The sequence below is a fragment of the Homo sapiens genome, chromosome 12, assembly GCF_000001405.40.
Source record: "Homo sapiens chromosome 12, GRCh38.p14 Primary Assembly".
Taxonomy (NCBI): Eukaryota; Metazoa; Chordata; class Mammalia; order Primates; family Hominidae; genus Homo; species Homo sapiens.
Window position 1 is genome coordinate 57,274,281 of NC_000012.12, and position 15,895 is coordinate 57,290,175.

Sequence of the window (15,895 nt, forward strand, 5' to 3'; positions counted from 1 at the left end):
CTGCCCAACACGGTGAAACCCCATTTCTACTAAAAATACAAAAATTAGCTGCGCATGGTGGCACATGCCTGTAGTCCCAGCTACTCAGGAGGCTGAGGCAGGAGAATCGCTTGAACCTGGGAGGCAGAGGTTGCAGTGAGCCGAGATCGCACCACCACTGCACTCCAGCCTGGGCAACAGAGCAAGACTCCGTCTCAAACAAAACAAAACAAAACAAAACAAAACTGTGCCTGTTTTCCCCACACTTGTAAGTTCTGACTAAAGAGTAAAGTGAGAAGAAGTGATGCTCCTCTTAGGCCTCCCCTAACTGGGGAAGGGCAGTGATACGGGCAGGGATAGCAGTGCTATTTTTTTAGTTACTCCACAGCTATCCTCAGCCATAGTTCTCTTCTTGAAGGGTGTAAAACTACAAAGCCAGGGAAGCTCTGAAAAACCATGAGGAAATTTATTTAAACAAAACTTAGGAATATACCTAACCAAGGAGTTGAAAGACCTCTACATGGAAAACTACAAAACACTGCTGAAAGAAATCATAGATGATACAAACAGATGGAAACACATCTCATGCTCATGGATGGGTAGAATCAATATTGTAAAAATGACCATACTGCCAAAAGCAATCTACAAATTCAATGCAATCCCCATCAAAATACCACCATCATTCTTCGCAGAATTACAAAAAAAAAATTCTAAAATTCATATGGAACAAAAAAAGAGCCCCCATAGCCAAAGCAAGACTAAGCAAAAAGAACAAATCTGGAGGCAACATACTACCTGATTTCAAAGTATACTATAAGGTTATAGTGACCAACACAGCATGGTACTGGTATAAAAATAGGCACATAGACCAATGGAACAGAATACAGAACCCAGAAATAAACCCAAATACTTACAGCCAACTGATCTTTGACAAAGCAAACAAAAACATAAAGTGGGGAAAGGACACCCTTTTCAACAAATGGTGCTGGGATAATTGGCTAGCCACATGTAGGAGAATGAAACTGGATCTTCATCTCTCACCTTATACAAAAATCAACTCAAGATGGATTAAGGACTTAAATCTAAGACCTGAAATTAAAAATTCTAGAAGATAATATATTGGAAAAACCCTTCTAGATGTTGGCTTAGGCAACGATTTCATGACCAAGAACCCAAAACCAAATGCAATAAAAACAAAGATAAATAGTTGGGACTTAATTAAACTAAAAAACGTTTGCATGGAAAAAAAAAAAAAAAAACAGCAGAGGAAACAGACAAACCACAAAGTGGGAGAAAATCTTCACAATCTGTACATCTGACAAAAGACTAATATCCAGAATCTACGACGAACTCAAATAAATCAGTAAGAAAAAAACAATCCCATCAAAAAGTGGGCTAAGGACATGAATAGACAATTCTCAAAAGAAGATATACAAATGGCCAACAAATATATGAAAAAATGCTCAACATCACTAATGATCAGGGAAATCCATATCAAAACCACAATGTGATACCACCTTACTCCTGCAAGAATGGTCATAATCAAAAAATCAAAAAACAGCAGATGTTGGCATGGATGCAGTGTCAGGGAACACTTCTACACTGCTGGTGGGAATGTAAAGTAGTACAGCCACTATGGAAAACAATGTGGAGATTCCTTAAAGAACTAAAAGTAGGGCCGGGCGCAGTGGCTCATGCCTGTAATCCCAGCACTTTGGGAGGCCAAGGCGGGCGGATCATGAGGTCAGAAGATCGAGACCATCCTGGCTAACATGGTGAAACCCCGTCTCTACTAAAAATACAAAAAATTAGCTGGGCGTGGTGGCGGTTGCCTGTAGTCCTAGCTACTCGGGAGGCTGAGGCACGAGAATGGCATGAACCCGGAGCTTGCAGTGAGTCAAGATCGTGCCACTGCACTCCAGCCTGGGCGACAGAGTGAGACTCCATCTAAAAAAAAAAAAAAAAAAAGAACTAAAAGTAGAACTACCATTTGATTCAGGAATCCCACAACTGGGTATCTACCCAGAGGAAAAAAAGTCATTATACAAAAAAGATACTTGCATGTGCATGTTTATAGCAGCACGATTCACAATTGCAAAATCATGGAACCAACCCAAATGCCCATCAATCAATGAGTGGGTAAAGAAACTGTGGTATATACACACAATGGAATACTATGCAGCCATAAAAAGGAATGAATTAACAGCATTTGCAGTGACCTGGATGAGATTGGAGACTATTATTCTAAGTGAAGTAACTCAGGAATGGAAAACCAAACATCGCATGTTCTCACTGATATGTGGGAGCTAAGCTATGAGGACGCAAAGGCATAAGAATGATAAAATGGGCCGGGCACAGCGGCTCACGCCTGTAATCCCAGCACTTTGGGAGGCCAAGGTGGGCGGATCATGAGGTCAGGAGTTTGAGACCAGCCTGACCTACATGGTGAAACCCCCATTTCTACTAAAAATACAAAAATTAGCTGGGCGTGGTGGTGCGTGCCTGTAATCCCAGCTACTCAGGAGGCTGAGGCAGGAGAACCGCTTGAACCCAGGAGGTGGAAGTTGCAGTGAGCCGAGAGTGCATCACTGCACTCCAACCTGGGTGACAGAGCGAGACTCCATCTCAAAAGAAAAAAAAAAAGAATGATAAAATGGACTTTGGAGACTTGAGGGGAAGAGTGGGAAGGGGGCAAGGGATAAAAGACTACAAATATGGTGCAGTGTATACTGCTCGGGAGATGGGTGCACCACAATCTCACAAATCACCTCTAAAGAGCTCACTCATGTAACCAAGTACTGCCTGTACTCCAATAACTTATGGAAAAATAAATAATGAACAAAAAAAAAAAAAAAAAAGACTGCCCTGAGGGATGTGGCTGCCACCTACTGGCAAATTCTGGGCTTGTTCACTGGCTCTTGATGACAAAAGGGGGCCCCGAGAACTCCTTTTCAAGAAGTCTACTTCATTTTAAGTAAATTGGGCAAAAGGGAGATCCTGGCCCTTTAATCCTCAGCCTCACCCCTGGTTTCACGAGCTTCACCGACACACAATTTGAAGGCCTGCTTGGACAGAGGAGCCCTGCCAGGAAGGGAAAGATCATAGTTTAGTCAGTACTGTTCCCAGACCTGGGGCAAGTGCCTTGTGTGACAGAGTTAAAGGTAACAACCCTTCCTCAAAGATTTTTTTTTTTTTTTTAGACAGAGTCTTGCTGTGTTGCCCAGGCTGGAGTGCAGTGGTGCAATCTCAGCTCACTGCAACCTCCACCTCCCAGGTTCAAGCAATTCTCATGCTTAGGAGGCTGATGACTCCCAAGAAGCTGGGATTACAGATGTGCACCACCACACCCAGCTAATTTCTGTATTTTTAGTAGAGACGTTGTTTCACCAGGTTGGCCAGGCTGGTCTCAAACTTCTGGCTTCAAGTAATCTGCCCTCCTCGGCCTCCCAAAGTGCTGGGATTACAGGCGTGAGCTACCGCACCCAGTCTCAAAGTTTTTCTTCTACAGGAAAAGCTTTAGAGTAAGCACAGTGGTGTTTGTGTGTGCACATGATCACTTCTTTAATCCTAGCACTGTTATGTACCATTAGAAACTGAACAATAATTATTCTCAGGCTCAGCAACTTTGGTCTAGGGAGCCCCCAGTGCTGAAGGCCAATCAGGGAAAAAGAAAGCAAAAGAAAGAAAGAAAATGGCAGTAGGAAGAGGAATAAAAAAATAAAGAGGAAGGGTGAAAAAGTGGAGAGGGAGAAAAAAGGAGATACATACAGTGAGATGGTGGGATAATTTTTAGCAGCTTCCATAAATGCTTCCAGGGCATCAAAACCTGGATAAATTCTTTCATTTGGAGTTAGTGATCACAATTAATCTCAAGAATGAATTTCTAAGAGAACAGGAATTGCTGCACCAAGTAGTGTTCCTTTACCCCCGAGCTATAGCACCTAACCTGGCACCACACTCCCCATAGGAGATAAGCCAATGCCAACGATCGACCAATTGACCCTCACAATCCAGTAGCAGGGACAGAACCTGAGTAGAAGATTGGGGTTTAGGGCCAGTCACTTGGACATTCTGTATAAATTTCAGTCCCAAATGGTTCTTTTATCTCTTTATTCCTCTCCCACTCTTGCCGTCTCGTCTGTTTCTAGGTATGAGATTATAGGTGGAAGATGCAGGCAGATGGGAGACTAAGAGGGAGAAAAGGGAGCAAGACTATTAAAATACACATTTTAGGGAAAAAAAAACCTAGAAAATATTAGGACCTTGGAAAAGCAAGTCATACACATAAAAAACACGGTAGCAGATGACAGAAGGAGAAGCATAGTTTACCCACTTACAGGTTTGAATTAAGACACAGACAGAGAAAAGTACACATACAAGGACACTATGCTTCAGTAGGGAGCAAGGTAAACTGAAGTGAACGAGACTTACTGGGGTAGATGGTGGTAGAACAAGAAAGTTAGGACTATAGAAAGAACTGACTTAGACTAAGATAGAGGACTGCAATGACTTGCATGCAAATTACATTTAGACACAAAGTAGGATTTCCTAGATCTTCACTGTTCTTTGTTTCAGCTTCATTTCACAATATTTGAGATAGGGCAATACTGGGCCATTCTGGGGTCTTTGCACTCTAGTTTCTAGTTCATGGGGTATTAGTGTTTGGGACTTGCTTCTTACACCTAGGGAAGAAATATATCTAAGGCCAAGCTGGACTAATAAGCAGAGGGATGAGGGAGCCTGGGAGGTAACATGAGAATGTAAACTACAGCAGAAAAGACTGCAGACACATGGGCTTTCCAGCTACCAGAGAATACTTCAGGATAAAGTATGGGGCTCTCCTCAAAAAGAGCTCTATTCGTGTGAGAAGGGAGTAAGTGAAGATCTCAGCACAGCTCTGCTCGGAGTATTAAGGTGACTTTTTTTTTTTTTTTTTTTTTTGAGACAGGGTCTTACTCTGTCGCCCAGGCTAGAGAGCAGTGGCGCGATCTCGGCTCGCCGCAACCTCCGCCTCATGGGTTCAAGCGATTCTCCTGCCTCAGCCTCCCTAGTAGCTGGGATTACAGGCACCCGCCACCATACGTGGCTAATTTTTGTATTTTTAGTAGGGACCGGGTTTCACCATGTTGGGCAGGCTGGTCTTGAACTCCTGACCTCAGGTGATTCACCCGCCTCAGCCTCCCAAAGTGCTGGGATTACAGGCTTGAGCAACCATGCCTGGCCTTAAGGTGACTTTTAAACATAGTCACCTTAATGACAATGGCCAGGCATGGTGGCTCATGCCTGTAATCTCAGCACTTTAGGAGGCCAAGGAGGGAGGATCACTTGAGCCCACAAGTTTGAGACCAGCCTAGGCAACATAAGCAAGACCCTATCTCAAAATAATAATAATAACAATACATTTTTTAAAAATTAAAAGAAAGAAATAAAACAGAATACTGAAGTTCTGGTTTAGAACAGGACTGATTCTTAGGCTAATGACCTTCCTGGTCTCCACAGATGCAAAACTTCACTTAAACTCTAGTTGGTACCAACATTTACCAGTCCAGCAACAGAAGGAGAAGGATACAGCCCTTTTGAGTCATGGAAAACAAAGACACATTTGGAGTCTTTGTGTTTCGTGGCATATGTATGGAAGGGGTCTTGAGTGTTATTTCTTTTTTCCGCAAACCCCAACACATAAATAGGTGTTTATGGGTCCACATAGTTGGTCAGATGATGGTGGAAGTTATAATCTTTTCAAGTTCCAATATATAGATGTAATGGAAAAAAATGCCTTGTTAATTACACATGGACATAGAGGGAGATGGGGTACAGTAGAAATGTGGTATGAAATAAAAGATTCTACTGACAATGTTCAGGAAGCAGAGGAAGAAATATAAAGCAAAAAACCCCCAAGCTGACTCAGTAGTTATTTGGCAAAACCTTTGCTCAAGGTTCTTCTTTCCCTACAACTAACAAATGAGAAATGGGGGAGAGAGTGGCATGTCTCCAAAAACTGATCCTTCCTGCCACCCACAGCACAAGAGACATGACGGTACATCTAAAGTTTGCTTGAATCAGAGTGGAGAGGACTCTGACACTGAGTGGTGACTCACCTGTGAGATCATGTGATTATTCAAGGGTGGCTGTTGCTGAGGCGTGGGTGGGAGAGCAGGAAGTTGCTGCTGCTGCTGCTGCTGTTGCTGCTGGGCAGTACAAGGGAGAAGCCCCCGGACAGACTGGGATGAGGTGACCTGGTTGCACACTTCTGGGGCACCTAGTGCCATACCTAAGGCAAAGAAGAAACCCACAAAAAGTTGTAAGCATAAGCCACGAACACATTATCCCTGGAAGCTTAGTCAGAGGGCTCTACTTTTTCTTTGCCTTTCCTCTTTATTCCCTTTTGTCCCCTCCCCCACTGTCTTTTGAAGATTCACAGATGAGCACAGATGCATTTCAGCTGCCTTGCTGATGCCAGTCCTCCTCTTTGCAGGCTTCTGCTCCCTAGGGACAGGAACCACCTTGACTGTCAAGTTTGGTTATGAAATTGAACAAAATGTGAGGCTGCTGAAGCACCTCCCCTGAAGTGTCTGGAATCTGTCCATCAAACTTAGATAGCTGAAAATATAAATGCTTACTTCCTGGGAAGGCACAGATTTTTGGTCTCTTAAGAGATCCGTCCTTTTGCTAGAGAGAGAGAGATCTGTCTTCTCTTTGCTTTCTTCTCAATTTGCAACATCTCTTATAAAAGTTGCTGAGGGCCGGGCGCAGTGGCTCATGCCTGTAATCCCAGCACTTTGCGAGGCTGAGGCGGGTGGATCACCTGAGGTCAGGAGTTTGAGACCAGCCTGGCCAACCAACATAGTGAAACTCCGTCTCTACTGAAAATATAAAAATTATCCGAGCTTGAGGGTGGGCGCCTGTAATCCCAGCTACCTGGGAGGCTGAGACAGGAGAATCGCTTGAACCCAGGAGGCAGAGGTTGCAGTGAGCTGAGATCGCGCCATGACACTCCAGCCTGGGCGACAAGAGCGAGACTCGGTCTCAAAAAAAAAAAAAAAAAAAATGTTGCTGAGAAAACTTCAAGCATACACATAACCTTTATCCAACTCATTTCCCCATTTCTAGGCTCTCCAAGGCATGAACTCATTCAACACAACATACTTTACTATGTGCCAAGCACTGTATAATGAACTAAAGACATAAAGATGAGTGAAACACAGTCCTTGCCCTTAACAGCACAGGAACTTTTTTCTTTTTTTGAGACAGGGTCTCACTCTGTCGCCCAGGCTGGAATGCAGTGGCACGATCTTGGCTCACTGCAACCTCCACCTCCCAGGTTCAAGCGATTCTTCTGCCTCAGCCTCCCAAGTAGCTGGGATTACAGGCACCCACCACCACGCCCAACTAATTTTGATGTCTTTGGTAGAGATGGGGTTTTGCCTTGTTGGCCAGGCTGGTTTCGAACTCCTGGCCTCAAGTGATCTGCCTGCCTCTGCCTCCCAGAGTGCTAGAATTACAGGTGTGAGCCACCATGCCCAGCCAACAGCACAGGAACTTCTGATGGGAGATAGACATCCACATGACAATTATAATCTGATAAGGATAAGGAATACATCAGTGATATCGACAAAGTTGCATGAAAGCAAAGATGAGGAAGCAAAAACTCCTGGGAGGGTCAGGAAAGGATTTAAAGAGGGGTCAGCAGGAAAGCTGGGGTTGAAGAATGACAGATGCTTATAAGACCAAGAGGAAACAAAGCTAATGCCATATTCAAGAAATGGTTGGTTGGGTGTGGTGGCTCATGCCTGTAATCCCAGCACTTTGGGAGGCTTAGGTGGGTGGATCACCTGACATCAGGAGTTTGAGACCAGCCTGGCCAACGTGGTGAAACCCCATCTCTACTAAAAATACAAAAAATTAGCCGGCCGTGGTGGCGGGTGCCTGTGATCACAGCTACTCGAAAGGCTGAGGCAGGAGAATCGCTTGAACCCGGGAGGCGGAGGTTGCAGTGAGCCGAGGTCGTGCCATTGCGTAACAAGAGCAAGACTCCATCTCAAAAAAAAAAAAAGGAAAGAAAGAAATGGTTGGAAAGAAGGAAAGATCTGGAAATTAGACAGCAATGGCAAACTGGAGTCAGGAAGTTATGCTATATTAAGTAATTTGGATTTTACTATTCAGGTGAGGATGCAGAAACGAACATTTTTAAAAGACTACTGATGAGTTTAGATCTGTTTTAGATTGGCAAACTGGCTCTAAAAAGGGCTAAGCAACCAGATGCAATGGCTCATGTCTGTAATCCCAGCTACTTGGGAGTCTGAGGTGGGAGGATCATCTGGGCCCAGGAGTTCAAGGCTGCAGTAAGCTGTGATGGTGCAACTGCAATCCAGCCTGGATAACAGCAAGACCCCGACTCTTGAAAAAGCAAAAAAAAAATCATAAAAAGAGCTGAGAATGGAGTAGAGATATCAGTTTGGGCGCCAGTGTCATAATTACATAAAAGAAAATAAAAGTGTGGATAAAGGCTGAGGCAGTGGGATTAGAAAGGAGGTAACAGAGAAGGGCAGCAGAGACCTAGGGGTCAGAGGCAAAATCTTCAGCACTACTGATGTCTTCTGAGGATAACTACAGAACTTCTGGGATGAGATTCAAGCAACTCTTCAAAGGGAGGAGGACGATGAAATAGAGGTCTAAATGCCCTTCTGCTAAGAGAGCAGCAGAAATAGATAGAGAAGGTTTTGTAGCAGGAGAGCTGATGGGTGGTTACAGAGCTTTCATGTGGAACATAGGAGTGTCTGCTCCTTTCCAGTGACTGAGCTCCAGAGAAGCAGCCATAGCAGCATCCCTCTAAATTCTAGCCTATTAGCTGGTATCAATTAATTACAAACTACTAAACTCTAAGGATTCCCTCTGCTCTACAAAGCCTCTACAATCTCAAGAGTCATAGAATGAAAGTGGCTATCATTTTCATCTTAGTATATAACTTGAGACCTGGGCTGATATGGATGTTCCACCTTACATGAAAATCAGAGAAAATAATCTAATCACAATCAATTCTTTTTTTTTTTCCAATCAGGCAGAAGGTTTGAAAGAAAATGAGGAGGACTAAATCCAAGCAAGGACAATGGATCCAAAATTCAAATGTCCCTTCCCCTGGCTGTATTAGGTTTCCAGGAAACTATACTGGGACAAATGTTTTATTGAAAGTAAATATGGGCTGGGCGTGGTGACTCACGCCTGTAATCCCAGCACTTTAGGAGGCTGAGGCAGGCAGATCACCTCAGGTCAGGAGTTTGAGACCAGCCTGACCAACATGGTGAGACCTCACCTCTACTAAAAATACAAAAATTAGTCAGGTGTGGTGGCGCATGCCTGTAATCCCAGCTATTCAAGCGGCTGAGGCAGGAGAATCACTTGAACCCGGGAGACAGAGGTTGCAGTGAGCTGAGATCACACCACTGCATTCCAGCCTGGGCAACAGAGGAGACTCTGTCTCAAAAAAAAAAGTAAATATCAGTGATGTTTCACAGGAGACAAGCAAGAAGGGATGGGTATGACATGGAAGAAAAGAAGCTGTAATACCTGGCCTGGAGATCCTTCCCGCACTGCCGCCTTTACTGCTGCCGATGCTGTCACCTCGGGTAAGGATAGAGATTCCACTGAAGCTGCTAGCTTTGGTGACAGGGGGTCGCATGCTCCGGACAGAGCCATCAGAGTCTGTGCTGCTCCAAGGGCGTGGCTCCAGGGATTTGAGTTCGCTGTCTGTGCTGCTCTGGCGGCTGCTTGAGGTGCGGCTCAGTCCTTCACGGTTCCCCCTGCAGAGACCATAGTGGTCAGAGCACCTCCCACCCACCACTTTAGCAGAAGGGCTAGGAGATAATTCATTTCTATTCTCTCAATAACAAAGAATGGGTAAGAATTAAAGGGAGGATGGACACTGACTTATTGTTAGTTGGCTGGCCAACTAAGAGTTGATGGGAGCAGACAGAACAAGATCCAGTACAGTAACAAAGAACACAGAGGCAAATCTGGAAGACAGTGCACTGGCAACTAATTTAATACATCAGACCAGAGGTGGATGGGAAACCATATACATGATGCTGAGATTGGCTGTGGTCTCTTCCCCACCCTCTGAGGGTAATCCCACACATGCAAGCAATAATGGGGAACAGAGGGGTACCAGTTCCTTCTGAAAGTTCTTAAAATAAAAGGACTCCTAGAAGTTGCTATTGCTAAAAGGCAGGAGCCAATGACATGGATAAAACCCACAATGGGTCTTCCACATAACACATGTCTAAGCCAGCAGAGGTGCTGCTTATGGCCACCCTTCCAGGAGTTGCAAGAAGAGTATAGTGAACTAAAGGGGCACTAACTATGGAAAACTCAGTTTGATAGTCTAGGATTGATCCAACCTGTTTTGTGGAAATTCCATGTTACTGTCTGCGAACAATTGGTTTCAGGATCTCTAAGGGCTAAAGTCTTCAGCAAATATGCTCTTGGGACTCAGGATGGCGAAGAGCAGGGGGGTTGACTGTGCCTAGTTGCCTTCATATTCATAATCCTATCTCCCTAAGCAAAACTATTAAGGAAAGGGGTTCTCCCTCTCTTATTTGGCTCTGTAAACAGCAGGGTTATCTTGATGTTATAATCACTGTCTATGATTATTAACAGCTGTATGCCTCAAGATAGCCAGGTTGGCCTGAAAACCCTGTCTTGTTGAGCTCTCACTGCTTCTTAATCATTAAGCAACCAAGAACCAGCAATTTTTCTTTCATACCCCACATCCCCAACAACTAATGACCTAAGGAAACCAAATGACAACAATTACAAAGATTTTGGTAGGTATACCGAGGAATAATTAAGCAAAAAATCATTGTAGTTTGGGCTCCCTTCTTTTTACCACCATCCCATCAAAAGCAAATAGGAAACCCCATTCCAATCCCACTGGTTCCAAAGGCACTAGGCTCAGAGTTATTTTAATAGAGAAAGGCATTTTTCTTAAGGGCATTAATATTAAAGAAAACACCTTTCTTTATTAGAATACCTACTCCAAAGGCACTGTAGGAAAAATGGGCAAAATACATGCTAGGGTCCTTCTTTTAGGTTTTAGTCAAGCCAATCACGATGAGCTAAGAATACACTGGCACAACTGGTTAGGAACATGCTAATTCTTCTCTGCAACCCCAAGACTGAGAGAGAGAGAGAGTGTGTGTGTGTGTGTGTGTGTGTGTGTAAGCACTTAAATGCTTCTATGTAGTTAGTGAATTAAAAAATATTCCTGTTTCTCCAAAGCTTTACCCCTTTCCTTTGGAATGCCAAAAGTAGAATGGGAAACAAGAAAGAAGTATAAGTTAGGTACTCTCCAGGAACAGAACCAGACCTGAAGTGAGAGACAACAGCTACATCTCAATGGACAAAGGCAAGTACACTAAGAGGAGTCAATAAAAATGAGTGTGTTTGTGGGGTAAGGGGATACAGCAGTGGCAATAGATGAGGCTGCTCATTAGACATTAGAGCTTGAATTTTGCAAGACAAGTCCTAAAGGCCTTTTCCACTGAAAAGGAAATCCTGCCATTTATTTTCTCTTGCTACTAGAGGTAGACAGTGAACAAGGCAACTTTAAACCAAATACCTTGAAAAGCTAGGGCCAAAATGGCAGCACTTCTATACTAATCCAGTTTCCCCAAGACAGTGATGACCAAACACTCAAAATGTAGACTGCCTGATGATCTGACTAACCTGGGTTAGTACACTACTCCCCTAAGACTTGGAGAATCTAAGTTGAGTCTTGGCAGGAAAAAGATCAATTTTCCCTCTCTACAAATAAAAATAATTAGGGAATGCTACCCAGATTCAATTTTGAGCACTGGATCGGGTTGTGTGTATGTTGGAGAGATGGAGGTAAAGGACAAAGAGCAGTCACACCTCATATTCATGTAAAATCAGAGCTGATTAGTTTTTACAAGCAGATTTAGTGCTGGTGAAAAGTCCAGCTTGTTGGGTCTGGGGAATGGGTAGAGATGCCTGTGGAAGAGGTGGCAATAAACATCAGTAAGGCCTCACTGTGGCTTATTTGTCAATGGAGCAGACTCTTCCAAAGAACTGGGGAGCTGCCATAGTTATTGTCAATGTGGATGATGGAGTTTGGTTTACAGGTATTTGTTTCACAAACATAAACTGGGCCAGAAAGGTGTAAGGCAATTAGAGAAGATCAGCTTCTAATCATTAGCGTTTTGGACTAGTATCCAAGTAGAGGAAGAAGTTATTCCCTTAAGTGCCCACGATGCTGCATTTTAGATGACCTACATCTTCAATCAAAGCTCAGTTGGAAAACCAGTAGCTTAAAAGGTCTGGTGAGGGCCAGGCGCGGTGGCTCACGCCTGTAATATGAGGACTTTGGGAGGCTGAGGTGGGTGGATCACCTGAGGTCAGGAGTTTGAGACCAGCCTCAACATGGAGAAACCCCGTCTCTACTAAAAACACAAAATTAGCCAGGTGTGGTGGTGCATGCCTGTAATCCCAGCTACTCGGGAGGCTGAGGCAGGAGAATTGCTTGAACCTGGGAGGCGGAGGTTGCGGTGAGCCGAGATCATGCCATTGCACTCCAGCCTGGGCAACAAGAGCGAAACTCCATCTCAGGGAAATAAAAAAAAAAGGTCTGGAGAGGAAAGGGCTGCACCTACTCAGTAGATCCTTCAAGCTATTATCTGCACAGTTTGATGTAGTCTGATGGTCCATAGCCCTAATAAGAGCATCATTCTAACCAGTGAATCTGGATTAGGGCTCCAAATGTAACACTACTAAGAGAGGAAGGGGTGACATCTGTAGAGAGCTGGTGTGGTGTAGCGAAGAGGACACTAAACTAAGAATCAGCTCCATTTTTGCTTCTATTAGCCATGTAAACTTGGGCTAGCCACTTAAATCTCTCTGCTTTTGTTTTCTTACATGTAATCCAGCTGACCAAATTAGGATGTTGAGAGAACTGAATCAGATAAAGTATACTCTGGTGACTGTAAAGCACTGTGCATTAATTCACACATAGGAGTTGGTTTAAAACTCCTATTTCTTACAGTTATCCTGGGATGATCTATGACCCCGAAGTGTAGACTGTGGAACAGGAATCCTGATTTTTTGTTTTTTGTTTTTAATGCAGGGGACTCTATCTATCTCTACTACCACCAACAATGCAAGGTCCTCTCTGCCTGGGGTTTTCAGATGAACCACAGGGCAGGACAGCCTAAGAAAAAAAGACTTGAGAGAGATGGAAAATCCTCTACCCCAAGAATGGGAAATCTCACTACCCCAATTTCCACAAGGTTTGGCTAGCTTTAGAAAGGACAACAGGGAAAGGACAACTACAGTAGTAGGAGTGAGATCTCAAATCCAAGTTAGTCAGACAGTCCTTATCAAGTGTAGTAGTCAATAAGAGAGAAACCCTTTGGAAAGGGGGTTAGAGCTGAATTCTAGTGTTAAATACTCAGGTTCTCAGTATTTTCTAGTTTTTCTATTGGTAAATTGGGAAGAATATACTTAAAATGAGTTGGTAACAGAATAGACACTATTCTCTTACCACTGCCTTGTATTATCCTCTGGGGTAGGATTGAGAGACTGAAATGAAAGGGAGGGTCTTATACCTGCTTTGTGGGGAAATGGAGGACACTGGGAACTGGGGAAGTTAATACAACAGGTTGCACCAGCATTCAGAGTAAGTAATGAACAATCGTATGAAGGACACACTTTAAGTCCATTCTAAGGCAGAGAGGTCCCTTAGGTCTTTTTTTTTTTTTTTTTTGAGACAGAGTCTTGCTCTGTTGCTCAGGCCGGATGGAGTGCAGTGGCGTGATCTCAGCTCACTGCAACCTCCGCCTCCTGGGTTCAAGCAATTCTCTGCCTCAGCCTCCCGAGAGGCACCCACCACCACGCCTGGCTAATTTTTGTATTTTTAGTAGAGACAAGGTTTCACCATCTTGGCCAGGCTGGTCTTGAACTCCTGACCTCGTGATCCACCCACCTCGGCCTCCCAATGTGCTGGGATTACAGGCGTGAGTCACCGCGCCTGGCCAGGTCCTTTCTGAGGTCATCTTACACATTACATTGCCTCAAGAGAAAACTACATACATAAAGGTGTCCGTATATGTCTCTCTCTCTCTCTCTCTATATATATATATGTATTATTTTTTCTTAAAGATATCTTTAAGAAAAAATATTCCTATGCTGGGTCAGGAATAATGTCTACACATCTTTTCCATAGATTCAGAAAAGGTTAGCCAGAAGACACCCATTCTTTTACCTTATCATAAATATGTTTGAATCTTTCAAAAATGCCCAATTCCAGCTAATTTCTGGGAGGAAGCTGTACCTATCCCAGACACACCTATTTGGTCCCCTTCACCACCTGTTTAGGACTCGAAATGAAATCAGCAACAATAAAAATAAAGTCATTGACCAGGAGCCATTTTTTTAAATGGGGAAAAATATCCAATGTTGCAAAAACCACAAATTTAATTATTCCACAAGCAGCCATGCATGGAGCAAACCCACTCTGCTGAAAAGATTACAGCAAAACAAAATAAAATTAAAAATAAAAAGGAGAGATATAGATCACACAGAGGTACCTAAAAATCTGCCTTCTCTTGTGAGAGCTAGAAGAAAAGGCTTCTTTGGAGAGTCTGTTGGTTAACATCAAAGAAAAGCATCATTACAGGATTATATTAACCTCACTGGCAAAGCTCAATGAGAAGCAGGGAACATGCTAAGTGGTACTAACCTGATGTCATTTAGATATCCGTTCTGGCCAGTCTAGGTGAGGGGGAGAAAACGGAAAATAACTTATAAGAAAACAGCATGGCATGACCGAAAAGGATGTCCATGATGCTATGAATACCCAAGGTCCTCAAACCAAAGCTCACCCCACCAACAGGGAGAGAGGGGCCAGGGACAGGATGACCCATACCCGCATACCCAATCTGACTTCTCACCTTTAATGAGAAAGAACATCTGGTGGTTTTAGCCTTTGGATAGGTGTTTAAAAAAAAGAGGCTGACAAAGGCAGGAGTGTGAAAAGGAGGAAGAGGAAAGTATTAACCTAATTATTATTTCCTTTTTAGCTCTGAATTTATTGGTAACTTGGGAATAATAACTGATGTCCTTGGTCCTAAAGAGTGTGTTCAAAGGAAGGGAAAAGGGAGACAAGAGAAAGAAACTTTGTTTTTGGAAATCATCCTCAATGGCTTTTCCATTTCTGTCTCCTACATTGGCCAAAATGAAAGACATTCTGACCTGAGACCCAAGGAGGGTGGGATATTGGGGAAGCAGTTACTTTTCAGGGCCTAGAAAAAATGAGAAAATTAAAAGCCTGAAACATTCCCTTTGGGGATCATTTCCTGACAAAGCCACTGAGCTGAGTGAAGTGAGCATTGTGGTGGATTCCCAAGCTTTAGGAAAAGGTACCAAGAGTGTCCAGCTGCTGAGCAGAGTGAGCTCCATGCAGAGCAGAGCCTATGCTGGGCAGCTTTTCCAATATACAGCTCAGGCTCCAGAGAAGGCTGCAGCAGCAGCATTTCCATCCAAACACCCTTCTTGCCACTTCCTTTCTTTTTGGCCTGCCTCCTGCTCCCACACCCAACCCCACAACTCCACCCCTAATCAGCTCCCTTTAGCCAGGCTCCTCTCCACATGGAATCTTTGGAGTATGATGGGCTTTGGCCATAGTTCCTTGTCTAGACTTTCTGAGATTCCTGATGCCTCTACCACAACAAGAGTTAGAAGTGCTGAAATCAAAGTGATAAATCTACAAGGATCTAACAAAGAATACATACATTAGTAGAGGCTTGAAGACTAGAAATCAGGAGAAAAAAAAAGAGAAGAGCTAACTTTGCCTTTGTTATGGTTGTAGGTAGATACAGTCCACTGTTGTACATAATTAGCTCTAATA

The 15,895-nt window shown here is 43.6% G+C and overlaps 1 protein-coding gene across 53 annotated transcripts in view, besides 1 other annotated feature; it reads right to left on the bottom strand.

Moving 5' to 3' along the window:
- The window catches only part of R3HDM2 (R3H domain containing 2), a 177,378-nt gene that overhangs the window by 20,517 nt on the left and 140,966 nt on the right, over nucleotides 1–15,895 (bottom strand). For 26 of the 53 annotated variants that reach the window (XM_047428533.1, XM_047428528.1, NM_001351217.2 and 23 more), the window contains 3 exons: nucleotides 14,729–14,760; nucleotides 9,544–9,776; nucleotides 6,078–6,250 (listed from right to left, as the gene is read on the bottom strand). In XM_047428533.1, the coding sequence (XP_047284489.1) occupies nucleotides 6,078–6,250; nucleotides 9,544–9,776; nucleotides 14,729–14,760 (438 nt within the window). Of the gene's footprint in view, nucleotides 1–6,077; nucleotides 6,251–9,543; nucleotides 9,777–14,576; nucleotides 14,631–14,728; nucleotides 14,761–15,895 lie in introns of all 53 variants that reach the window. The other 27 variants (XM_047428517.1, XM_047428514.1, NM_014925.5 and 24 more) reach the window with 2 other exon arrangements.
- Nucleotides 5,500–6,699: an enhancer, noted in NCBI's record as "CDK7 strongly-dependent group 2 enhancer chr12:57673563-57674762 (GRCh37/hg19 assembly coordinates)". NCBI's record gives its function as "activates an origin of replication core promoter dependent on BRD2, BRD4, P300/CBP, MED14 and CDK7 cofactors, with strong dependence on CDK7, by STARR-seq in HCT116 cells {active_cell/tissue: HCT116}" and the evidence as "EXISTENCE:reporter gene assay evidence [ECO:0000049][PMID:35650434]".